The sequence below is a fragment of the Homo sapiens genome, chromosome 3 (genome assembly GCF_000001405.40).
Source record: "Homo sapiens chromosome 3, GRCh38.p14 Primary Assembly".
In the NCBI taxonomy this organism is placed as follows: Eukaryota; Metazoa; Chordata; class Mammalia; order Primates; family Hominidae; genus Homo; species Homo sapiens.
This window is the reverse complement of record NC_000003.12, coordinates 48,764,415-48,789,762: the sequence shown is the minus strand read 5'-3', so window position 1 is coordinate 48,789,762 and position 25,348 is coordinate 48,764,415. Positions and strand designations below refer to the sequence as shown.

General features: G+C 43.6%; 1 protein-coding gene across 9 annotated transcripts in view, besides 1 other annotated feature; it reads left to right on the top strand.

The window, feature by feature from the left end:
- Window positions 1-25,348, top strand: part of PRKAR2A (protein kinase cAMP-dependent type II regulatory subunit alpha) — a 103,284-nt gene that overhangs the window by 58,112 nt on the left and 19,824 nt on the right. For all 9 annotated transcript variants that reach the window (XR_002959546.2, XM_011533942.4, NM_001321989.2 and 6 more), the window contains 4 exons: window positions 6,671-6,777; window positions 16,655-16,808; window positions 24,414-24,515; window positions 24,685-24,759. Coding sequence is in view for 8 of the 9 variants with exons in the window: in XM_011533942.4 (XP_011532244.1) it covers window positions 6,671-6,777; window positions 16,655-16,808; window positions 24,414-24,515; window positions 24,685-24,759 (438 nt within the window). In the remaining variant the exon portion in view is untranslated. The remainder of the gene's footprint in view (window positions 1-6,670; window positions 6,778-16,654; window positions 16,809-24,413; window positions 24,516-24,684; window positions 24,760-25,348) is intronic.
- Window positions 19,936-20,587: an enhancer, noted in NCBI's record as "H3K27ac-H3K4me1 hESC enhancer chr3:48806609-48807260 (GRCh37/hg19 assembly coordinates)". NCBI's record gives its function as "activates a minimal SCP1, AML or CMV promoter by ChIP-STARR-seq in naive H9 embryonic stem cells {active_cell/tissue: H9 hESC(naive)}" and the evidence as "EXISTENCE:reporter gene assay evidence [ECO:0000049][PMID:30033119]".

The window sequence follows — 25,348 nt, the reverse complement described above, 5'->3', positions numbered from 1 at the left end:
GGTGGCTCATGCCTGTAATCCTAGCACTCTGGGAGGCCGAGGTGGGTGGAGTTCAAGACCAGCCTGGCCAACAGTGAAATTCTGTCTCTACTAAAAATACAAAAATTAGCCAGGTGTGGTAGTGTGCACCTGTAATCCCAGCTACTCAGGAGGCCGAGGCAGGAGAATTGCTTGAATCCAGGAGGCGGAAGTTGCAGTGAGCTGAGATCGCACCATTGCACTCCAGCCTGGGTGACAGAGCAAGACTCTGTCTAAAAAAAAAAAAAAAAAAATAGAATAAGAATGAATCTTCTATCTGTGAAACTGTGAAGAAGGAAAAAGAAATTTATGCTAGTTTTGCTGTTGCACCTCAGACTGCACAAGTTACAGCCACAGTGCGTGTTAAGTACTTGGTTAAGATGGAAAAGGCATTACATTTGTGGGTGGAACAGAAATGTGTTCCAATTGACATCAGTAGGGTTCAACACTATCTGTGGTTTCAGACATCCACATATCCCCTTGGAACATACTCCCCATGGATAAAGGGAGGACTGCTGTATTTTTCTGAGCTGCTTTGGCACTTTCTCCAAGACAATACTGATAATTTGAAGAGCATGCGGTTTTGTCATGTTGCAAGGAAATGCTCAGATTTGCATGACCCTGGCTTAGTTAGGAGGGTCTGAATTTATCCTACAAAGAGATTGATTTTTCTGAAGATGCTGGTATGTAGTTCCCTTCATTGATAATAGTTAACTCACTGGCTTACCACAGTGTGTAGTAAGTGCTTCTTAGGAATGGTGTGTTTCTGCAGGGCCTAGCATAGGATCTATGACCTGGGCCTGTCCTCCCTCTCTTGGTGGTAGAAATAAAGAACAAGGGCTATCTCCTGATAGGTGTCCTAGTACATTTGGGCTGCTATAACAAAATACTGTAACCTGGGTGGTTTATAAACAGTGGAAATTTCTCACAGTTCTGGAGTCTGGGAAATCCAAGCTCAAGGTGCCAGCAGATTTGGTGTCTGATCAGGAGCCCACTTCCTGGTTCGTAGATAACCATCTCTGTGTGTTCTCACATGGTGGAAGGAGGGAGGGAGCTCTCAGGGTTTCCTTTATAGGGGAACTAATCCCATTCATGATCATGTAAAGGCCTTACCTTCTAATACCATCACATTGGGAGTCAGGCTTTAACATGAAATTTTGGGGTGACATAAACATTTAGTTCATAGTAACAGAGAATCTTCAGATTTCCTGTTTCTTCTCTATTCTTCTCTACTGTTTCTTCTCTACTTTGAAGGCCACACATTAAAAGAATGAGGCCAGGCATGGGGGCTCACGCCTGTAATCCCAGCACCCAGCACTTTGGGAGACTGAGGCAGGCAGATCATTTGAGGTCAGAAATTCAAGACCAGTCTGGCCAACATGGTGAAACCCCGTCTCTACTAAAAATACAAAATTTGGCAGGGCACGGTGGCTCACACCTGTAATTCCAGCACTTTGGGAGGCCGAAGTGGGCGGATCATGAGGTCAAGAGATGGAGACCATCCTGGCTAACATGGTGAAACCCCGTCTCTACTAAAAATACAAAAATTAGCTGGGCGTGGTGGCGCGCACCTGTAGTCTCAGCTACTCGGGAGGCTGAGGCAGGAGAATTGCTTGAACTGGGGAGGTGGAGGTTGCAGTGAGCTGAGATCATACCACTGAACTCCAGCCTTGGCGAGAGAATGAGATTCCATCTCAAAAAAGCTAAAAATTTAAAATTAAAAACATTTAAAAATTTAAAACCGCATGAATGGCTAAGGTGCTAGGCCTATTGAGGAGTCCCAGAATGTGCAGAGACAGGAAGGCTGGAATTAGATTTCCTCTGTTACCCAGCTCCTACCAAAAAGGCTTCTGAAGACATTTCCACAGCCCTCCTTAGGAATCTGGGCTGGTCAGATATGAGCTTACAATGCATCAGTCAAAGGAGTTAACTAACCTTGGTGTCTGTAAACCAGACTAATAACTGTGTGGTTTACAGTAATAGCCAGAGCTTTACTCAGAGCTTGTTAGTTTGAGACTGAATGAGACAAGGACCATGAGCTCAAGGAAAGGCTGGTTATGAGAAACAGTGGTCTGTGTTAGCTGTTTTCCCTGGAAGACCCATCCATGTAAATGGAAAAGGGGCTTGCTTCTTTATCTGTGAATAAAACCTCTTGTAAATTTTATACCATTAAAGTTACTATAAGGAAAGTTTCTATGTCAATCTAACAGTTTTCTTAGAGTTGGAGAATACCATTTGAGTGTTGAAAAGTTATAACTTGGACGGGCACGGTGGCTCATTCCTGTAATCCCAGCACTTTGGGAAGCCAAGGAGGGAGGATCATCTGAGGTCAAGAGTTTGAGACCAGCCTGGCCAACATGGTGAAACCCCATCTCTACTAAAAATACAAAAATTAGCCAGGCTTGGTGGCAGGTGCCTATAATCCCAGCTACTTGAGAGGCTGAGGCAGAAGAATCGCTTGAACCCAGGAGGCAGAGTTTGCAGTGAGCTAAGACCACACCATTGCACTACAGCCTGGGCAATAAGAGTGAAACTCTGTCTCATTAAATAAATACATAAATAAATAAATAAATAAATAAATAAATAAATAATTACTTTTCTCAATAATGTCTTTTTTCTGGTAGAGGATCCAGTCCAGGATCCCATGTTAGATTTAGCAGTTATTTCTTCTTAGTCTCCTCCAATCTGTGGCAGTTTTCAGTCTTTACTTGTCTTTCATAATCTTGACACTTTGAAGAGTACTAGTTAGTCATTCTATAGAATGTCTCTTCATTTGAGTTTGATGTTTCCTCATGATTTTGGAATATGGTTATATATTTTTGGCGAGACTACCACAGAAATTATATTGTGTCCCTCTGAAAGCATCATATCAAGGGGCCCATGATGTCAGTATGTCTTATTGCCAGCAATGTTAGTTCATTCCTTTTTATTGCTCAGTAGTATTTCATTGCTCAAAAATACCAATTTATCCATTTTTCTGTTAGCGAATACTTGGTCTATTTCTAGTTTTTAGCTATTATGATTAACACTATCAACATTTTGTACAAATCTTTTTGTGACCTTTTCCCCCAAGTTATCTTTTTTAAAAATTTTTTTTTATTTTTTATTTTTAGTAGAGATGGGGTTTCACCATGTTCGCCAGGATGGTCTCGATCTCCTGACCTCGTGATTCGCCCGCCTCTGCCTCCCAAAGTGCTGGGATTACAGGCATGAGCCACCGCGCCCGGCCCCCAAGTTATCTTGAGTAAAGTACCTGAGAGGAAGATTACTGAGTCATAGGATAGGTATATGTTTGACTTTGTAAAAAAATCTGCCAGATCAGCCGGGCGCGATGGCTCATGCCTGTAAACCCAGCACTTTGGGAGGCCGAGGCGGGCAGATCACCTGAAGTCAGGAGTACGGGACCAGCCTGGGCAACATGGTGAAACCTCCTCTCTACTAAAAATACAAAAATTAGCTGGGCATGGTGGCACACACCTGTAATCTCAGCTACTCGGGAGGCTGAGGCAGGAGAATCACTTGAACCTGGGAAGCAGAGGTTGCAGTGGGCCGAGATCATACCACTGCACTCCAGCCTGGGTGACAGAGCGAGACTCTGTCTCAAAAAAAAAAAAAACAAAAAAAAACCAAAAAACTGCCAGATATTTTTCATAGTAGTTTTACCAGTTTGCATTCCTGTCCACAACATATGAGATTTCAGGTTGCTTCATACCCTTACTAACATTTTATAGTGTCAGTATTTTTTCTGATTAGTATATTTGTTTCAAATTTTAAATTTATTTCCCAAATTTCTATTTTTAAATTTTCAAAATTACAGAAAATTCAAAAGAATAATAACATGAATACCCAGATGCCCTTTACTTAGACTGGCCAGTTGTTAACATTATACCACATTTGCTTTTTCTCTTGTGTGCAAGTTTATGTACAGAGAAAAAGAAAAGAGGAGTATATATAAAATGCTTTTCTTTTGTTCTGAGCCATTTATGACATCATGACCCTTCACCACTAAATATTTAGGATGTATTTTCCAGGAACAAGAATATTTTCTGGCTAGGCAAGGTAGCTCACGCCTGTAATCCCAGCACTTTGGGAAGCCGAGGCAGGTGGATCACTTGAAGTCAGGAGTTCAAGACCAGTCTGACCAACATGGTGAAACCCTGTCTCTACTAAAAATATAAAAATTAAGGCCGGGCCCGGTGGCTCACGCCTGTAATCCTAGCACTTTGGGAGGCCAAGGCGGGCGGATTACCTGAGGTCAGGAGTTCAAGACCAGCCTGGCCAACATGGTGAAACCCCGTCTCTACTAAAAATACAAAAATTAGCTGGGCATGGTGGCACATTCTGTAATCCCAGCTACTCAGCAGGCTGAGGCAGGAGAATTGCTTGAGCCCGGGAGGCAGAGGTTGCAGTGAGCCGAGATCGTGCAACTGCACACCGGCCTGGCCGACAGAGCGAGACTCTGTCTCAAAAAAAAAAAAAAAAAAAATTATCCAGGCCTGGTGGCATGCGCCTATAATCCCAGCTATTGGGGAGGCTGAGGCAGGAGAAATCGCTTGAACCCAGGAGGCAGAGGTTGCAGTGGACCAAGATCGCGCCACTGCACTCCAGCCTGGGTGACAAAGTGAGACTGTCTCAAAAAAAAAAAAAAAAGAATATTTTCCTATGTTAACACAATACCATTTAATAAACCCAAGAAATTTAATGTTGGTATAATATAAAATCACCTAACAACAGTCCATACTCAGATTTCCCGTTTTCCCAGTAAAGTTCTGTATAGCTTTTTGTTTTGTTTTTCAGTCCTGAATCACATACAATAAGTCTTCACCTAACATCATGAATCACATATAGTAAGTACTTCAACATTGTTGGTAGTCTTGGAAACTGCAACTTTAAGCAAAACAACCTATAATGAAACCTTTTTTTCCCCTCATCAGTGTTATAACTGTGTTATTTGAGGACCTTCTATACATTGTTTTGCTTAAAGTCACAGTTTTCAAGAACCTATCAACCACATTGAGGACTTACTGTATTTCATTTGGTTGTCATGTTGTTATTTTAGTCTCCTCTAACCTAGAAATGCTCCCTTTCCGCCCCTGTTATTCTATATCTCATGACACATGTGTTTGAAGAGTCCAGACTAGAAGAAGAAAAGTGACTCAGAACAAGCGGCTTCCAGCAGGCAACCCACAGGCTAGGTACAGATGTCTGTGTTTGGTCTGTATTGAACATGAAAATTTAAATTTATTGCCAGTGTTTAAATAGGAGATTTCTGGCAACACTGGGCTCACATTCCAGTCAGTGTGGGTAACACGTCAGTTGCAAGCCATCCTTTTTAGTATTTGTTAGCTTATACAGTATTCAACGCACGTGGAACTAAATACACTTTTTGGTGATACTCAATTATCTTGGTAGTACAGTCACTCTGATAGAACATAAAATCACATGGAATTATGCAGTCATAAAATTATTCTCTTTTCAGGTCTTCAGTCTACATTTCTCCAAAGAGAAAGTCTCTTTTTTTAATTGAACCTGGTATTCTTTAGTGACTTCCTAATAATTACTGATCTCCCTGACAGGGATGCTGGCCCCAGACTGAGACCATTGTTTCATTAGAATTTAATAGTATTATTTTCTTTTCATTATACTTATTGACATAGTTGATGTCTGGTTATGGCAGGCAATATTTGTAAGTAATTGTATGTGCTGTATGCAAATGAAGCAATATTAGCTGTCTTATAATATATCTCATTTATTGAGTATCTGTTGTTTCATAAATACTTTCCTAGGTTTTTTTCCTTTGGTCATAAAAATTGATGACCTGGAATCTTTGTTATACCCTTTTTACATATGAAGAAACTGGAGTTCACCGGACGTGGTGGCTCACGTCTGTAATCCTAGCACTTTGGGAAGCCAAGGTGGGTGGATTACATGAGGTCAGGAGTTCGAGACCAGCCTGGCCAACATGGCAAAACCCTGTCTCTACTAAAAATATAAAAATTTGCCAGGCGTGGTGGCACAGGCCTGTAGTCCCAGCTACTCAGGAGGCCGAGGCAGGAGAATCGCTTGAACTCGGGAGGTAGAGGTTGTGGTGAGCTGAGATCACACCACTGCACTCCAGCCTGTGTGACAGAGTGAGACTCCGTCTCCAGAACAAAAAAAAACAAACAAGATACTGAAGCTCAGTGAGGTTAAGTGACGTGTTTCGCTAGTCAAAAGTTGTGCTGTTCCAAAAGATAACCTCTAAGGCCATAGCAGCCCTTTAGATCTGATGCTCCTGTTAAGGTCAACAGCTGTAGGAAGGTGGGAGCATATGACTTTACACATGACATAGTGGAGCCATCAGGCAGGTGACAGTCATGTGGGTGTGGCTGGGAGAACATGGACCATAATTTAGATAATATTTTTGTGTAAATTTTGGGAAGCTTTTTCAAAACAATACTGCCTCAGAAGACTTGCCAGTTTGCTGTCTGCTGAGGTACATGGAGGTGCAAAGCTGAATGGTCCCAGGAAAGCATTTGTTTCAGACAACCTTTAGGTTTCTGCTTGAATGTGGGGACTTCTGTTACATAGTCACAAATTGAGATAATTATGGTCACTGCTTTTTTTCAGCATATGTAAAGGCTATTTTTTTCTTCTTGTGCATACCCTGCAGGAACAGCTTTCTCAAGTTCTCGATGCCATGTTTGAAAGGATAGTCAAAGCTGATGAGCATGTCATTGACCAAGGAGATGATGGAGACAACTTTTATGTCATAGAACGGTAGGAGATGGAGCTTTGAAATTGTGTGGCCACACTTAATCGGATTCATGACTCAGGGCAGATGCTTTATCCTATTCTGTATTCAGCCCAGAGAGGCTAAGGGCCAGGTGAACAAGCTTCCCAAAGCCTTGTGAGAGTCCACAGCTTGTCCCTCTCTACCAGTGCTGTCCTGAGTCCTCAGCACAACTCATATTTGAAGAGCAATCATTTAGAGTAGAAAGTCTCCTTTAGGCCAGGCGCAGTGGCTCATGCCTGTAATTGCAGCACTTTGGGAGGCCAAGGCCGGTGGATCGCTTGAGGTGAGGGGTTTGAGACCAGCCTGGCCAGTATGGTGAAACCCCGTATCTACTAAAAATACAAAAATTAGCCGGATGTGGCAGTGCATGCCTGTAATCCCAGCTGCTTGGGAGGCTGAGGCTGGAGAATCACTTGAACCTAGGAGGCTCACGCCTGTAATCCTAGCAAAGGTTGTTGCAGTGAGCTGAGACCCCGCCACTGCACTCCAGCCTGGACAACAGAGCAAGACTCCATCTCAAAAAAAAAAAAAGAAAGTCTCCTTTACAGTTAGTAAGGAGTGCAGGGTGTGCTTTATAAACATGTTATTTGCCAGTGTCAAGTGAATTGATTCCTTGAAGAATTAGCCATGGTACTATAGTCATTTGAATGTTTGTATTTGAGCCTGATTTTACTCATGAATACACTGCCCTGACCTTAACCCCTCTGGCTCAGATCTAAGTATTAGGAAAAGATTAAATATTTGGGCTTGACCTGCTCACCCTACTGTGTCCTAACCTCTTGAGTTTAGTATCCTCTGGCTGGTGGCAGTGAGGTGGGTGTCCTTCTGATCTCCTTAGTCCTGAAAGAAACACTCTCACTAGAGTTTAACACCAATAAGATATTGCTTCACCTGATATCTTCCATTAATTTAAAATAAAATGGTTTTTGGAGCTAGATAATAAAAAGGAAACAAAAATAGTTTTTTTATCTTAAAGTAATTTCAGAGTTACAGAAAAGTTAAATAGTGCAAAAAATTAATCATAGGCCTGGTGCGGTGGCTCATGCCTGTAATCCTAGCACTTTGAGAGGCCGAGGCAGGTGGATCTCTTGAGGTCCGGAGTTCGAAACCAGCCTGGCCAACGTGGTGAAACTCCCTCTACTTAAAAAATACAAAAATTGGCCAGTCGCAGTGGCTCATGCCTGTAATCCCAGCACTTTGGGAGGCTGAGGCGGGCAGATCACGAGGTCAGGAGTTCGAGACCAGCCTGGCCAACGTAGTGAAACTCCGTCTCTACTAAAAATACAAAAATTATCTGGGCATGGTGGCACGCGCCTGTAGTCCCAGCTACTCGGGAGGCTGAGGCAGGAGAATCGCTTGAACCTGGGAGGCAGAGGCTGCAGCAAGCTGAGATCGCCCCACTGCACACCAGCCTGGGCAACAGTGTGAGACTTTGTCTCAAAAAAAAATAAAAATAAAAAAGTAACCGGGCGTGGTGGTGTGCACCTGTAATAGCAGCTACTTGGGAGGCTGAGGCAGGAGAGTTGCTTGAACCTGGGAGGTGGAGGTTACAGTGAGCCAAGATAGCGCCACTGCACTCCAGCCTGGGTGATAGAGTGAGACTCAGTCTCAAAAAAAAAAAATTGTAAATACAGGTTCCCTAGGTTAGCGTTCTACTCCCTTTGCTTTATTAAGTTGTTGGCAAGGCTGGGCGTGGTGGCTCACACCTGTAATGCTAGCATTTTGGGAGGCTGAGGTGGGTGGATCACTTGAGGTCAGGAGTTCAAAACCAGCCTGGCCAACATGGTGAAACCCCAGCTCTACTAAAAATACAAAAAAAAAAAAAAAAAAAATTAGCCAGGCATGGTGGTGCACGCCTGTGGTCCCAGTTACTTGGAAGGCTGAGGCAGGAGAATCACTTGAACCCACAAGGCAGAGGCTGCAGTGAGCTGAGATTGTGCCATTACACTCCAGCCTGGGTGACAGAGTGAGACTTCGTCCCCACCACCAAAAGAAAAAAAAGTTGTTTTAAGTTGCACATATAATGCCCCTTTATCTCTGAATACCCCAGTGTGCATTTCCTAAAAAGGATATTCTCTTACTTTACTACAGAACAATTATAAAAAACACAAATTAACATTTATACAATACTACATCTAATGTATGCACCTTATTCAAATTTTTCTAATTATTCTCCTCATTTTTAAGATTCTTTTAATCTCCATCAAATAGCTGTACTAGATACATTGGTTGCCTTTCTTCTTGAGCCTTTTCTTATTTAGATTCTTGAACAGAAAATACTCTCCCTCCTTGAGTAACCTTTGGGTTCTTGCTACCTGTGACAAATTATTACACTCAGAGGAAATTTTTTTTTTTTTTTTTTTTTTTGAGACGGAGTCTTGCTCTGTCGCTCAGGCTGGAGTGCAGTGGCGCGATCTTGGCTCACTGCAAGCTCCGCCTCCCAGGTTCACACCATTCTCCTGCCTCAGCCTCCCGAGTAGCTGGGACTACAGGCGCCCGTCACCATGCCCGGCTAATTTTTTGTATTTTTAGTAGAGATGGAGTTTCACCACGTTGGTCAGGCTGGTCTCGAACTCCTGACCTCGTGATCTGCCCGCCTCAGCCTCCCAAAGTGCTGGGATTACAGGCGTGAGCCACCACCCTGTCCAAAGGAAATGTTTTCTTTACTCTAAATGCTGATTTAGGGTAAAGATGACATAAATAATATCTTCTCAGAGAAAAGACTTTTGTCTTCATCTTTTATGCTAATACTTCTTACACAGAAATTCTACAAGTAATGACAGAATAGGTTTTTTTGTTTTTTTTTGGGGGGGGTACGGAGTCTCACTCTGTCGCAAGGCTGGAGTGCAGTGGCATGATCTCAGCTCACTGCAACCCCCGCCTCCCAGGCTCAAGTGATTCTCCTGCCTCAGCTTCCTGAGTAGCTGGGACTACAGGTGCCTGCCACCAAGCCCAGCAATTTTTGTATTTTTAGTAGAGATGGGGTTTCACCATGTTGGCCCTGATGGTCTCGATCTCTTGACCTCGTGATCCACCCACCTCAGCCTCCCAAAGTGCTGGGATTACAGGCATGAGCCACCGCACCCAGCCCAGAATAGTTTTAAAATAAAATTATAAATATAATACAAAACTATATATTTTATTTATTTATTTATTTATTTATTTATTTATTTATTTATTTATTTATTTTGAGACGGAGTCTTGCTCTGTTGCTCAGGTGGGAGTGTAGTGGTGCAATCCTGGCTCACTACAACCTCCGCCTCCCGGGTTCAAGCGATTCTCCTGCCATAGCCTCCTGAGTAGCTGGGATTACAGGCACCCACCACCACTCCCAGCTAATTTTTGTATTTTAGTGGAGATGGGGTTTCACCGTGTTGGCCAGGCTGGTCTTGAACTCCTGACCTCAAGCAATCCACCCGCCTTGGCCTCCCAAAGTGCTGAGATTACAGATGTGAGCCACCATGCCAGGTCTATATTTATAATATAATAAAATTATATTACCACCTCCAGCAGCCACCTTTCCCCTTTGCCCTGCTGTGTACTCCCCTACCAAGACAGAGGTCCCATTGGGCACTTATGATCTGGGAAATAAGCATCCACCTGTACATGTCCACAACTTAAAGACTGAAATGCCTTTGTACAGAAGGAATGATTTATTTCATATGTAAACAAAAGGGGTTATTCTTTGTACAGTGAAAGTGGTGAATAAGAGCCTGGCACAGTGGTTTGCACCTGCAATCCCAGCACTTTGGGAGGCCAAGGTGGGAGGATTGTCTGAGCCCAGGAGTTCAAAACCAGCCTGGGGAAGATAGTGAAACCTCATTTTTACAAAACATTTTTTTAGGCCGGGCACGGTGGCTCACACCTGTAATCCCAGCACTTTAGAAGGCCCAGGTGGGCGGAGCACTTGAGGTCAGGAGTTTGAGACCAGCCTGGCCAACATGGCAAAACCTCATCTCTACTAAAAATACAAAAAATTAGCTGGACATGGTGGTGGGCGCCTTTAATCCCAGCTACTTAGGAGGTTGAGGCAGGAGAATTGCTTCAACCTGGGAGGTGGAGGTTGCAGTGAGCCGAGATCATGCCATTGCACTCCAGCCTGGGCAACAATAGTGAAACTCCATCTCAAAAAAAAAAAAAAAAAAAAATGCAGGCCGAGCACCGTGGCTCACGCCTGTAATCCCAGCGCTTTGGGAGGCTGAGGCGGGCAGGTCACAAGGTCAGGATGTCGAGAACATCCTGGCTAACATGGTGAAACCCCATCTCTACTAAAAATAAAAAAATTAGCTGGGCATGGTGGCATGTGCCTGTAGTCCCAGCTACCTGGGAGGCTGAGGCAGGAGAATAACTTGAACCCGGGAGGCAGAGGTTGCAGTGAGTGGAGATCATGCCACTGCACTCCAGCCTGGGTGACAGAATGGGACTCCATCTCAACAAAACAAAACAAAACAAAAACACACAAAAAAGCATTTTTTAAAAAATTTGCCAGGCATGGTGGCGCATGCCTATAGTCCCAGCTAATTGGAAGGCTGGGGTGGGAGGATCACTTGAGCCCAAGAGGTTGAGTCTACAGTGGGCAGTGATCATAACACTGCACTCCAGCCTGGGGGACAAAGTGAGACCCTGTCTCAGAATAAAAAGAAAAGAAAAAAGAATGTGGTGATAAACAAATAGGAAAGAGCTGAGCACAGTGGCTCACACCTGTAATCCCAGCACTTTGGGAGGCCGATATGGATTACTTGAGACCAGGAGTCCGAGACTAGCCTGGGCAACATAGTGAGACCCCTGTCTCTACAAAACAAAAAAGAAAGATTGTCGTTCAAGTAAAAAGGTACAGTTCCTGACCTCAAAAAATTCATGGTCAAGTTGGAGAGACAGACCTTTCAATAGATAATTATTACATAATGTGGTGGTAACAATGATAAAAACATATGCCCCATTATATAGAGGATGACCTGAATGGGAAAGGTCGAGAGGCTCTCTGCAGTGCTGCTGCCTGAAATGAGTTCATGTCACTTCCAAAGTTAAATGCTAGTGTCTGGAGGAGACGCTAAAAACACTGAATTCTATGTTTCCTATTTATAAGCTTATTTTGCCTTGTCTATAAAGGCCTAGGACAGGTCAGCTTCCCTACTGAGTGGTAAGCTCCCCTGAGAGCAGGGTTGGTGGCACATTCTCTGCTTTTCTTTTAATACATGATATTTAGTGATTTTGTCAGACAGTTGGAAGTTCTTTGTAGGAAATTTAGAATATAAAAAAATAAAAGGCCTGGCGCGGTGCCTCACACTTGTAATCCCAGCACTTTGGGAGGCTGAGGTGGGTGGATCACAAGATCAGGAGATCGAGACCATCCTGGCTAACACAGTGAAACCCCGTCTCTACTAAAAATACAAAAAATTAGCCGGGCGTGGTGGCGGGTGCCTGTAGTCCCAGCTGCTCGGGAAGCTGAGGCAGGAGAATGGTGTAAACCCAGGAGGCGGAGCTTACAGTGAGCCGAGATCATGCCACTGCACTCCAGCCTGGGCAACAGGGCGAGACTCCAACTCAAAATAAAATAAAATACAAACAGGATAGAAATTAATTTAGGCATAATCTGATTACCAGTGTATGATTCCATTATTTTTTCCATGCTTTACTGTTGAGATCAGACACCTCACCCAAAATTTGGTTAAGATGTCAAGACTGATGACACTACATATACAGTAAAAGGGTATGAAAAGGTTTATTACTCACATATAGAGCCTTTTTAGAGAGAGCAGGGCAGGCTCCCAGGCAGATCCAAAAATGACTTCAGATAGCAGGCGAGATGACTGTCTTGGGATTTATGGTGGTTAGAAGGTGGGATTAAGTGAGGGTACTCTTACACAGGGGCTGGCATTTGTGTTGATTGAACTCCCCGTCAGCACCGAAGGAGGGAGCACTCAGGCTTTCTTATCAGCTTGCCCAGATATGGGGCAGAAGAGGAAGGGTTTGAAAGCTGTCAACAATCAAACATCAAAAATGGAGTCGACTAATGGAATTATCTTTACATAATTTTTTTTACATTAAATCATACATTGTTGTGTGATTTAATTTTTTTAATCTGTTTTAAGCATGTTATGGAATATAGCATTCTGTTATTATTATTTTGAGATAGAGTCTCACTCTGCCACCCAGGCTGGAGTGCAATGGTGCGATCTTGGCTCACTGCAACCTCTGCCTCCCAGTTTCAAGTGATTCTCCTGCCTCAGCCTCCCGAGTAGCTGGGATTACAGGCACATGCCACCACACCCAGCTAATTTCTGTATTTTTAGTAGACACAGGGTTTTACCATGTTGGCCAGGCTGGTCTCGAACTCCTGACCTCAGGTGATCTGTCTGCCTCAGCCTCCCAAAGTGCTGGGACTACAGGTGAGCCACTGTGCCCAGCCATACTCTGTCATTATTATTATATATATATACACACATACACAGGCGTGAGCCACCATGCCTAGCCTCTGTCATTATATTTAATGACTCCATGATATATATAGAAACATGTATTTGACCCATCTCCTATTATTAGCAGATGAAATTACATATAGTTTTTACTATTATAGATATTACCTGGTGAAATCCTGGCAATTACATCTTTTGCAGTATCTTTGATTATCTCTTTTGGAATGACTAGAAATGGAATTGCTATATCAAAGGGTCTTTTTAAGGCATTTGCTATAAGCTTTAATTACCTTGCAGAAACTGAAAAGTTTATGTTTCCCTCAGTGGTATGTTGAGAGTGCCTATTTCTGCAAATGCTTGTCAGTTCTGAATATTTTTTCCTTAGCAATTATTGCCAATCAATAGATAAATAATTGTATCGTTTGTTTGTTTGTTTGTTTGTTTGTTTTGAGACTGAGCCTCTCTGTTGCCCAGGCTGGAGTGCAATGATGCGATCTTGGCTCACTGCAACCTCCACCTCCTGGTTTCAAGTGATTCTCCTGCCTCAGCCTCCCGAATAGCTGGGATTACAGGCACCTGCCACCCGCCCAGCTAATTTTTGTATTTTTAGGAGAGACGGGGTTTCACCAGGTTGGCCAGGCTGGTCTCGAACTCCTGACCTCAGGTGATCCACTCACCTCGGCCTCCCAAAGTGCTGGGATTACAGGCGTGAGCCACTGCACCCAGCCTCTGTCATTATTTTTAATGACTCCATAATATAGATAGAAACATGTATTTGACCCATCTCCTATTATTAGCAGATGAAATTACTTATAGTTTTTACTATTATAAATATTACCTGGTGAAATCCTGGCAATTAAATCTTTTGCAGTATCTTTGATTATCTCTCTTGGAATGACTAGAAATGGAATTGCAATATCAAAGGGTCTTTTTAAGGCGTTTGCTATATGTTTTAATTATCTTGCAGAAACTGAAAAGTTTATGTTTCCCTCAGTGGTATGTTGAGAGTGCCTATTTCTGCTTGTCAGTTCTGATTTTTTTTTTTTTTTAGCCATTATTGCCGATCAATAGATAAATAATTGTATCGTTTTGTTTGTTTGTTTGTTTGTTTGTTTTGAGACAGAGCCTCGTTCTGTCGCCCAGGCTGGAGTGCAATGACATGATCTCGGCTCACTGCAACCTCTGCCTCCAGGTTTCAAGTGATTCTCCTGCCTCAGCCTCCCGAGTAGCTGGAATTACAGGCACCCGCTACCCGCCCAGCTAATTTTTGTATTTTTAGTAGAGACGGGGTTTCACCAGATTGGCCAGGCTAGTCTCGAACTCCTGACCTCAGGTGATCCACCCACCTTGGCCTCCCAAAGCGCTGGGATTATAGGCTTGAGCCACCGTGCCCGACCTGCTTTGTTTTAATCTTTGTTTTAACAGACTATGAAAGAAAACCCATGCATTCATATCAATACCTACAGCAAAGCATTTGACAAAATTCAACATCTTTTTGTGATGAAAATGCTCAGTAAACTAGCAACAAAAATAACTTTCCCTAACTAGACTAAAGGCATTTATTAAAAACCTACAGCTAACATCATATTTAATGGTGAAAAATTGTTTTTTCTTACAACTCAGAATAAGGCAAGGATGTTTGCTTTCACCACTTCCACTTAATATTGTACTGGAGGTTATAGTCAATGCAATAAGGCAAAGAAAGGAAGAGAGGGAGGGAGGGAGGCAAGGAAAAAAGGAAGAAAGAAAGAAAGTGTGGCATAGTACACAATGAAATACCATTTGACCATAAAAAAGAAAGAAGTCATGTCATTTGTAGCCACATGGAGGTTGCTATATTAAGGTAAATAAGATAGGCACAGGAAGACAAATACCACATGTTCTTGCTCACATGTGAATGCTAAAGAACATTGATATCGTAGACATAGAGAATAGAATGATATATACCAGAAACTGAGAAGGGTGGTGGGTGGATGAAGAAAAGTTGGCTAATGGGTACAAACACACAGTTAGATAGAAGAAATAAATTTTAATGTCTTTTTTTTTTCCTTTTTGTGGAGAGAAGTCTCCATACGTTGCCCAGGATTGTCTCAAACTCCTGGGCTCAAGCAACCCTCCCAGTTTAGCTTCCTAAAGTGCTGAGATTACAGGTGTGAGCCACTGCACCTGGCAAGTTCTAATGTTTTATAGCATGATAAGGTGACTATACTTGGGTGACAATATTTAGCATATTTCAAAGTAACTATTAATAGAAGAGAGGACATGAAATGATACTGACACATAGAAAGGACATATATCCAAGGTGATGGATACCCCAGTTACCCTGACTTAATCATTACCCATTCTATGCATGCAACAAACACTCACATGTACGCCATAAATTATGTAAAATATTATATATTAATAAAAGAAAAAAAATTAGGCCGGGCATGGTGGCTCATGCCTTTAATCCCAGTACTTTGGGAGGCTGAGACAGGAGGATTGCTTGAGCCCAGGAGTTCCAGACCAGCTTGGGCAACATAGTGAGACCCCATCTCTACAAAAATAAAATATTAGCCAGGTGTGGTGGCACACGTCTGTGGTCACAGCTACTCGGGGCTGAGGTGAGAGGATTGCTAGGGGGCTGAGGTGAGAGGATTGCTTGGGGCCAGGAGGTGGAGGCTGCAATGAGCCATGATTGTGCCTCTGCACTCCAGCCTGGGTGACAGAGCAAGACCCTGTCTCAAAAAAATATATATGTCAAAAAATGTATATATGTGTATATATATATTTATGTGTATGTATATATGTGTGTGTGTGTATATATATATATGTTTAAGTTAAAGATGGGGGGAAAAAAAGGAAGGGGCATATAGATTGGAAAGGAAGTATTAAAACTTTGTTTCAGGTGACATGATCCTCTATGTAGAAAATTCTAGCCGGGTGTGGTGGCTCACACCTGTAATCCCAGCACTTTAGGAGGCTGAGGCGGGCGGATCACGAAGCCAGGAGATCGAGACCATCCTGCTAACATGGTGAAACCCTGTCTAAAAATACAAAAAAATTATCTGGGCCTGGTGGCGCGTGCCTGTAGTCCCAGCTACTCGGGAGGCTGAGGCAGGAGAATGGCGTGAGCCCAGGAGGTGGAGCTTGCAGTGAGCTGAGATACCGCCCCTGCACTCCAGCCTGGGTGACAGAGCGAGACTCCGTCTCAAAAAAAAAAAAAAAAAAAAAAGAAAAGAAAATTCCAAGAATGCCACAAAAAGGCTACTAGAATTAATAAGTGAGTTTAGCAAGGTTATAGGACACAGTACAAAGTCAAAATACAAAAATATGTTTTTTTTATATACTAGCAAAGTTCCATTGGAAATCTCTTAAAACAACATTTTCTATTATATGTACCTGCCAGTTCTTAACATTTATTATCAGAAGTAACTAATTAAATTATTCTTTGTCATTCTTCTAGGGGAACTTATGACATTTTAGTAACAAAAGATAATCAAACCCGCTCTGTTGGTCAATATGACAACCGTGGCAGTTTTGGAGAACTAGCTCTGATGTACAACACCCCGAGAGCTGCTACCATTGTTGCTACCTCAGAAGGCTCCCTTTGGGGACTGGTGAGTGAGAGAAATCGTTCCCCTTGCAAGGCACAGTATTAATTCCCTTTCTGTGTCTCTGTCCTTGGGCTGTTGATTTACACTATATCTTACAGCCATCCTGGCTAACACGGTGAAACCCCATCTCTACTAAAAAATACAAAAAAAATAGCCAGGTGTGGTGGTGGGCATGTGTAGTCCCAGCTAGTTGGGAGGCTGAGACAGGAGAATGGCGTGAACTCGGGAGGTGGAGCTTGCAGTGAGCCGAGATCGCGCCACTGTACTCCAGCCTGGGCGACACAGCGAGACTCCGTCTCAAAAAAAAAAGCACTTTATTGTGACATCCTGATGTTAAATTAAGAGTGCTCCTGAAAGAGATACAGTGACTTAAGGATAGGTCACACACTTGGGGACTCAATGATTGAAAAACTCAAGAATAGATTTGTATAGGGGAATAATAAATAATGGGGGCCAGGCACGGTGACTCACACCTGTAATCCCAGCACTTGGGGAGGCCAAGGCGGGAAGATCACTTGAGGTCAGGAGTTCGAGACCAGCCTGAGCAACATGGTAAAACCGTGTCTCTACTAAAAATATGAAAATTGGCCAGTCATGGTGATGGGCGCCTGTAGTCCCAGGAGGCGGAGGTTGCAGTGAGCCAAGATCACGCCACTGCACTCTAGCCTGGGCGACTGAGCAAGACTCCATCTCAAAAAATACAAAATCAAATAATAAGCCTTGGTGCTAACTACTGGTTCAGACCAAGATGGAATAGCCCTATTCCATGCTAGTGTTCTCACTTAAAAACTTAAACACACACACAAACAACTATGGACATAATAGAGCAAACATAGGAAGACTCTGAAAGGTGGAAAGAAGAAGGCAGACTATCTAGGGATATTGGGGCTTGAGGAAAGACATGACAGTGAGTTCCCAGGTTCCCATATATCCCAGATGGGGTGCTGGAAAGCCTGAAATCCAGATCTTCTAACAGGTATATTCAACAAAAGCAAAACTCCATCTCAAAAACAAAACAAAACAAAAGAACGAACAGCTAAACAGAAAATCAGCTAGTGTCAGCTAGGATATAGAAGAACTTAACACCATTAATTAACAAAAGCTATCTGAAATTTATAGAACACTGCACACAGCAACAACAGAATGAACATTTTTTTCAAGCCCATGGAACATTCACCCAAATAGGCCATATCCTGGAATATAAAATAAAACTTAAAAAATGTAAAAGATTTGAAATCAGGCCAACCACAGTGGCTCAAGCCTGTTATCCCAGCACTTTGGGAGGTTGAGGTGGGAGGATTGAGTCCAGGAATTTGAGACCTACCTGGGCAGCATAGTGAGACCACATCTCTATTTAAAATTTTAAGAAATAATGAAAATTTAAAGAAAAAATGAAATCAGAATGTGTTCTCTAACTACAATTGAAAGAAAGAAACTAAAAATCAATAACAGATCTCCAGACACTTAGAAATTAAATAACATTGTTTTTGGTGTGAGCAGGGGCTAACTGCAGCCTTGACCTCCTGAGCTCAAGCAATCCTCCCACCTCAGCCTCCCAAGTAGCTGGGACTACAGGTGTGCACCACCACACCTGTCTTTTTGTTGTTGTTGTTGTTGAGACAGAGTCTCACTATGTTGCTCAGGCTGGTCTTGAACTTCTGGGCTCAAGCAGTCCTCCTGCCTTGGCCTCCCAAAGTGCTGGAATTACAGGCATGAGCCACTGTGCCCAGCCAAATAACACATTCTTTCTTTTTTTTCTTTTTTGAGATGATCTTGGCTCACTGCAACCTCTGCCTCCTGGGTTCAAGCGATTCTCCTACCTCGGCCTCCTGAGTAGCTGGGATTACAGACGTGTGCACATGTGCCACCACGCCCAGCCAATTTTTGTATTTTTAGTAGAAATGGAGTTTCACCATGTTGGCCAGGCTGGTCTCGAACTCCTGACCTCAGGTGATCTGCCCACCTCGGCCTCCCAAAGTGCTGGGATTACAGGCAAGAGCCACCGCACCCGGCCAAATAACCCATTCTTGGATAATCTCTAAGACCAAGTCTCAATGAAAATTGAAAACTGTATATTGAGCTGTAAAACCACCTGCTTTGTGGCTGGGGTATGAGGATTAAATACATGGGCATAAGAGAAGTGACTCCCTTAGTGCCTGGTACAAGGTGGGTGTTCACAGAATGATGGCACAAGCTCCCCATGGCCATGGTGCTACTCACCACCCTTCTTTTCCTGAGACTTCCTTTCCTAAGACTCCTATTCTTTCTATTTCCTTGCCTTTGGCAGTCATTTCCTCTTCTCCTTGCTTTCTTAGGTCAGTGACCTATCAAGATATCCTTTTGGCCTCTACTTTTCTCCTGTTAATTGACTTGCTTTGCAAGCCCAGACTCTTCCAAAGCTTCAATACCACCTCTAGGAAAGTAACTCACAGAAGGTCCTCTCCAGCCTGACTTCTTCTTTGGCCTTGGAAATGCCTTCTGAGGTTGAAGTAGGGAGGATCTGGTGTCGTCACTGAGTTTTTCAAGTTGGATCCTACATTCCTGCTTTTATAATGGGCAGCTGCCATCACGGCCCCTATACGTAGTCTCTTTTGCTTTCTCTTGCTTTATTGAAAGTCAATAGAAGGTTTCCTGGGAAATTCCTGCAGTCACAGGAGAGAGTAGCACTCCTTTTCTCTTTTGAACTTCAGGGGTGTTTGCTTGCCTCTGACCACTTGCTGCCTGTGGGAATTTCCTCTTCACTGCTCGATTGGATGCTCATCAAAGGCTATGTTGATGTCTGGTGCTTTTTTTATATTCTCCACAGCCATGGGAACTGGCCTTGCACCACATGAAAAGAGAGTTTTGGGAAGTGTTAAAGCATGCGTAAAAAGGGGTAGAACCAGCTGGGTGTGGTGACTCATGATGTAATCCCAGTACTTTGGGAGGCCACGGTGGGCAAATCACATGAGCCTAGGAATTCAAGACCAGCATGGGCAACGTGGTGAAACCCTGTCTCTATGAAAAATAAGAAATTAGCTGATGTGGCGGCACATGCCTGTAGTCCCAGCTACTTGGGACGCTGAGTTGGGAGGATCACCTGGGCCTAAGAGGTCAAGGCTGCAGTGAGCTGTGATCATGCCACTACACTCCAGCCTGCTGAGTGACAGAGTGAGACTCTGTCTCAAAAAAAAAAAGTCGCTTGCCGGGCGTAGTGGCTCGTGCCTGTAATCCCAGCACTTCGGAGGCCAAGGTGGGCAGATCACCTGAGGTCAGGAGTTGGAGACCAGCCTGACAAACATGGAGAAACCCTGTCTCTACTAAAAAATACAAAATTAGCTGGGCATGGTGGCGCATGCCTATAATCCTAGCTACTCTGGAAGCCAAGGCAGGAGAATCACTTGAACCTGGGAGACGGAGGTTGCGGTGAGGCAAGATTGCGCCATTGCACTCCAACCTGGTCAACAAGAACGAAACTCCATCTCAAAAAAAAAAAAAGTCGCTGTAAGAGATATTTGTTGTGGTCGGGCACAGTGGCTCACGCCTGTAATACCAGCACTTTGGGAGGCCAAGGCGGGCGGATCATGAGGTCAGGAGATTGAGACCATCCTGGCTAACACGGTGAAACCCCGTCTCTACTAAAAATACAAAAAATTAGCCGGGCGCGGTGGCAGGCGCCTGTAGCCCCAGCTACTCAGGAGGCTGAAGCAGGAGAATGGCGTGAACCAGGGAGGCGGAGCTTGCAGTGAGCCGAGATTGTGCCACTGCACTCCAGCCTGGGTGGCAGAGCGAGACTCTGTCTCAAAAAAGAAAAAAAAAAAGAAAGATATTTGTTGTTTTCTCTTTAGTTAGAAATCTGTTGTTGTTGTTGTTGTTTTTGAGATGGACTCTTGCTCTGTCATCCAGGCTGGAGTCCAGTGGCATTATCTCGGCTCACTGCAACCTCCGCCTCCAGGATTCAAGCAATTCTCCTGCCTCAGCCTCCTGCATAGCTGGGATTATAGGCATGTGCCAACAGTACTGGCTAATTTTTTATATTTTTGGTAGAGATGGGAATTCACCATGTTGGCTAGGCTGGTTTCGAACTCCTGACCTCAAGTGATCCACCCACCTCAGCCTCCCAAAGTGCTGGGATTACAGGCGTGAGCCATGCGCCCAGCCGAAATATTGTTTGCTATTGCAATTGTACTAATCTTTGTTACACTGTAGGTGGATTTGTAAAATATTGGGAGTTAACTTTGCTGCCCTCTGTGTATTTTTTAATATTTATTTATTTATTTATTTTGAGACGGAGTCTCTGTTGCCCAGGCTGGAGTATAGTGGTGTGATCTCGGCTCACTGCATCCTCTGCCTCCAGGGTTCAAGTAATTCTCATGCCTCAGCCTCCCAAGTAGCTGGGACTATAGGTGTACACCACCATGCCCAGCTAATTTTTGTATTTGTAGTAGACACGAGATTTCACCATGTTGGCCAGGCTGGTCTCGAACTCCTGACCTCAAGTGATCCACCCACTTTGGCCTCCCAAAATGCTGGGATTATAGGTGTGAGCCACTGTGCCAGGCCTTTTATTTTATCTATCTATGTATCTATGTATGTGTGTGTGTGTGTCTGTCTGTCTGTCTCTCTGTCTGTCTATATCTATCTATCTATCTATCTATCTATCTATCTATCTATCTATCTATCTTTTGAGACGGTCTCACTCTGTTGGCCAGGCTGGAGTGCAGTGGTGCTCTCACACCTCACTGCAACTTCGCCTCCCAGGGCTCAAGCAATCCTCCCACCTCTGCCTCCCCAGTAACTGGGACCACAAGTGCACGCCACCACGCCTGGCTAATTTTTGTATTTTTTGTACAGATGGGTTTCGCCATGTTGCCCAGGCTGTTCTCAAACTTCTGGGCTCAAACAATCCACCCACCTCCCCACCTCAGCCTCCCAAAGTGCTGGGAATACAGTCGTGAGCCACTGTTCCCAGCCTGTATGGGTTTTTTTTAAATAAATAAATAAAATATTGGGGTTTTCTGTTTTTGTGGGGTTTTTTTGTTTGTTTTTTTTTTTGAGATGGAGTCTCGCTCTGTCTCCCAGGCTAGAGTGCAGTGGTGTGATCTTGGCTCACTGCAACCTCCACCTCCCAGGTTCAAGCGATTCTCCTGTCTCAGCCTCCCTAGTAGCTGGGACTGCAGGCGCGTGCCGCCATGCCCAGCTAATTTTTTGTATTTTTAGTAGAGACGGGGTTTCATTGTGTTAGCCAGGATGGTCTCGATCTCCTGACCTTGTGATCCACCCGCCTCAGCCTCCCAAAGTGCTGGGATTATAGGTGTGAGCCACTGCGTCCAGCCTGTTTTTGTGTTTTAAATAGAGTTGAGGTCTCATTGTGTTGCCCAGGCTGGTCTTGAATTCCTAGCCTCAAGCGATCCTCCTGCCTTGGCCTCCCAAAGTGCAGGGATTACAGGCATGAACCACCACACACAGCCTAAAATATTGTTTTGTTTTTGTTTTTTTCGAGGCAGGGTCTCGCTCTGTTACCCAGGCTGGAGTGCAGTGGCATGATCTCGGCTCACTGCAACCTCTGCCTCCCAGGTTCAAGTGATTCTCCTGTCTCAGCGTCCCAAGAAGCTGGGATTACAGGCGCCCACCACCATGCCTGGCTAATTTTTGTATTTTTAGTAGAGATGTGGTTTCACCATATTGGCCAGGCTGGTCTTGAACTCCTGACCTCAAGCGATCCGTCTGCCTCGGCCTCCCAAAGTTCTGGGATTACAGGCGTGAGCCACTGCGCCCAGCCCATTATTATACTTTCTGACAAAATGTATATATGTATAGTCCTGACAGCCTGAGGTGGAAGAAAGGTAGTTAACTTAGATACAAATAACTGCTTGCCCATTTAGGAATCTAAGACTAAGCAATTAACATTCTCACATGTATCTCCCTGCACATGTGTACACATATCTGAGAAGTGCCTGGTTTGGTTAACTGTCTTCTGATCAGAATCCATTACTTACTAAGCCAGGCACAGTGTTGTGTACCTGTAGTCCCAGCTACTTGGGAGGCTGAGGTGGGGAGATCACTTGACCCCAGGAGTTCAAAGCCAGCCTGGACAACATTGGGGGACCCTATCTCAAAATAAAACAGAAGGAATCCATGACTTGCTAGAGTCAAGGTATCTTTCATATGCCTGCCTTCCATCTTGCGTATTCCTCCCGTGTCTCTCCATTAACTTAAATCCTACCTCTCTTTCAGGTCCTAGACATTTTTGCTGCAAAATAATCTTTGATCACTCCTGCCTACTGTGATCTCCCCTTCTTACCTTGAAATTTATGTGGCACTTGTCTTCTGTAGTTTCATCAAGCACATTTCATATGCTCATATGCTGTCTTGAACTGTAGACTTTTTATTTTTATTTTATTTTTTTTTGAGACACAGTTTCAACTTATGTCACCCAGGCTGGAGTGCAGTGGCGCAATCTCAGCTCACTGCAACCTTAGCCTCCTGAGCTCAAGTGATTCTCCAGCCTCAGCCTCCCAACTAGCTGGGACTAGACAAACGCCACCATGCCCAGCTAATTTTTGTATTTTCTGTAGAGATGGGGTTTCACCATGTTGCACAGCCTGGTCTTGAACTCCTGAGCTCAAGTGATCTGTCTGACTCAGCCTCCCAGAATGCTGGGATTACAGGTGTGAGCCACTGCACCTGTCCTTGAAATGTAGACTTTTTATTCCTATGTATTTTGTTGTTGTTGTTGTTGTTGTTGATATTGTTGTTTTTGGGACATAGTGTCACTCTGCTGCCCAGGCTGGAATGCAGTGGTACAATCACAACTCACTGCAGCTTTGACCTCTCAGGCTCTGGTGAGCCTTTCACCTCAGCCACCCAAGTACAGACAAGTGCCACCATGCCCAGCTAACTTTTTTTGTGTATTTTTTCGTAGAGAGCGTGTTTCACCATGTTGCCTAGGCTGGTCTCATACTCCTGGGCTCAAGCAATTTGCCCACCTTAGCCTCCCAAAATGCTAGGAGTACAGGCAGTGAGCCACTGCATTCAGCCAACCTTCATATTTTGATATTTTATATTATCTCCCCATTAAGATTGTAAACTTTTTTAGGGTAAGAACAATCTAATTGTTCTTTTTTTAGGCAAGAACAATCTAATTGTTTTGGATTTTTTAAGTTTTTTTAAATCCTGGATTCTAAGGATTAAATGATTGTTTTATTCTCTCTTTTGGTGAGGTGTCTCTTTTTTTTTTTTTTTTTTTTTTTTGAAATGAGGGTCTCACTCTGTCACCCAGGCTGGAGTGCAGTGACATGATCTCGGCTCACTAGAGGTGTCTTTTTTGATATTGAACAGTGACAGTGAGCTCATAAATGTTTAGGTGTTTTCTGTTTTGGGTTCTATTTATGACCCATAGGTGGCACCTATTGAGTGCTAGATAGCAAGCAACAGCATGTGGGCATCTGGCTGGCTCAGGCTATAGGTCCTTTACTTCCAGTGATGACTCAAGATTGAAGTATCATTAAACACTTAATTAACACAGTAACTTACATATTCCTCTAATATTTGCTTTGGCCAGTTAATTAAACCATAGATGTTCCTGTATATAGGCATTTACTAGAATTTTCATATTCTTTCTTGTAGGACCGGGTGACTTTTAGAAGAATCATAGTGAAAAATAATGCAAAGAAGAGGAAGATGTTTGAATCATTTATTGAGTCTGTGCCCCTCCTTAAATCACTAGAGGTAAAGTGGCTTGAATAAGAATCTGTTCATGGGGATCAGGAAAAGCTTTTAAAACTATTCTGTTGTTAGGTTTTCAAATCATACTATTCTAATCCTATTTCTGTGCTGCATAGCTATTGTGACTTTCAATTAAGGTCTTTTCCTTTTATTTGTGAATTTGTTGTTTCAGGTGTCAGAACGAATGAAGATTGTGGATGTAATAGGAGAGAAGATCTATAAGGATGGAGAACGCATAATCACTCAGGTGAGTGAGGGCTTTACGCAGCTCCTTTCCTGGAAGTCACCCCTGAAGAACTAGTACATCATTTATCTCAAAAACTTCTTGCCGGACGCAGTGGCTCACGCCTGTAATCCCAACACTTCGGGAGGCTGAGGCAGGTGGATCACTTGAGGCCAGGAGTTCAAGACCAGCCTGGCCAACATGGTAAAACTCCATCTCTACTAAAAATACAAAAATTAGCTGGGTGTGGTGGCCCATGCCTGTAATCCCAGCTACTTGGGAGGCTGAGGCGGGAGAATTGCTGGAACCCAGGAGGCAAAGGTTTCAGTGAGTCGAGATTGCGCCACTGCCTCCAGCCTGGGCAACAGAGCAAGACTCCATTTCAAAAAAAAACCAAAAAACCTTCTATGTTCTCCCACTGTTGGGAGCTCTTATTACCAGGTAATAGATCATACTTCAGAGGACTATTATGTAGTCCTCTGAAGCTTATTGACGTCCGTCTTACTGACACGTGCAGATCTCTTGCTTCCTCTCACCTTTCCTTGGCTTCTAGTGTTTGTTCTTTTGATGTCATTTTCTTTTGACCTTAAGTAAGTTTCATCCATTGCTATTA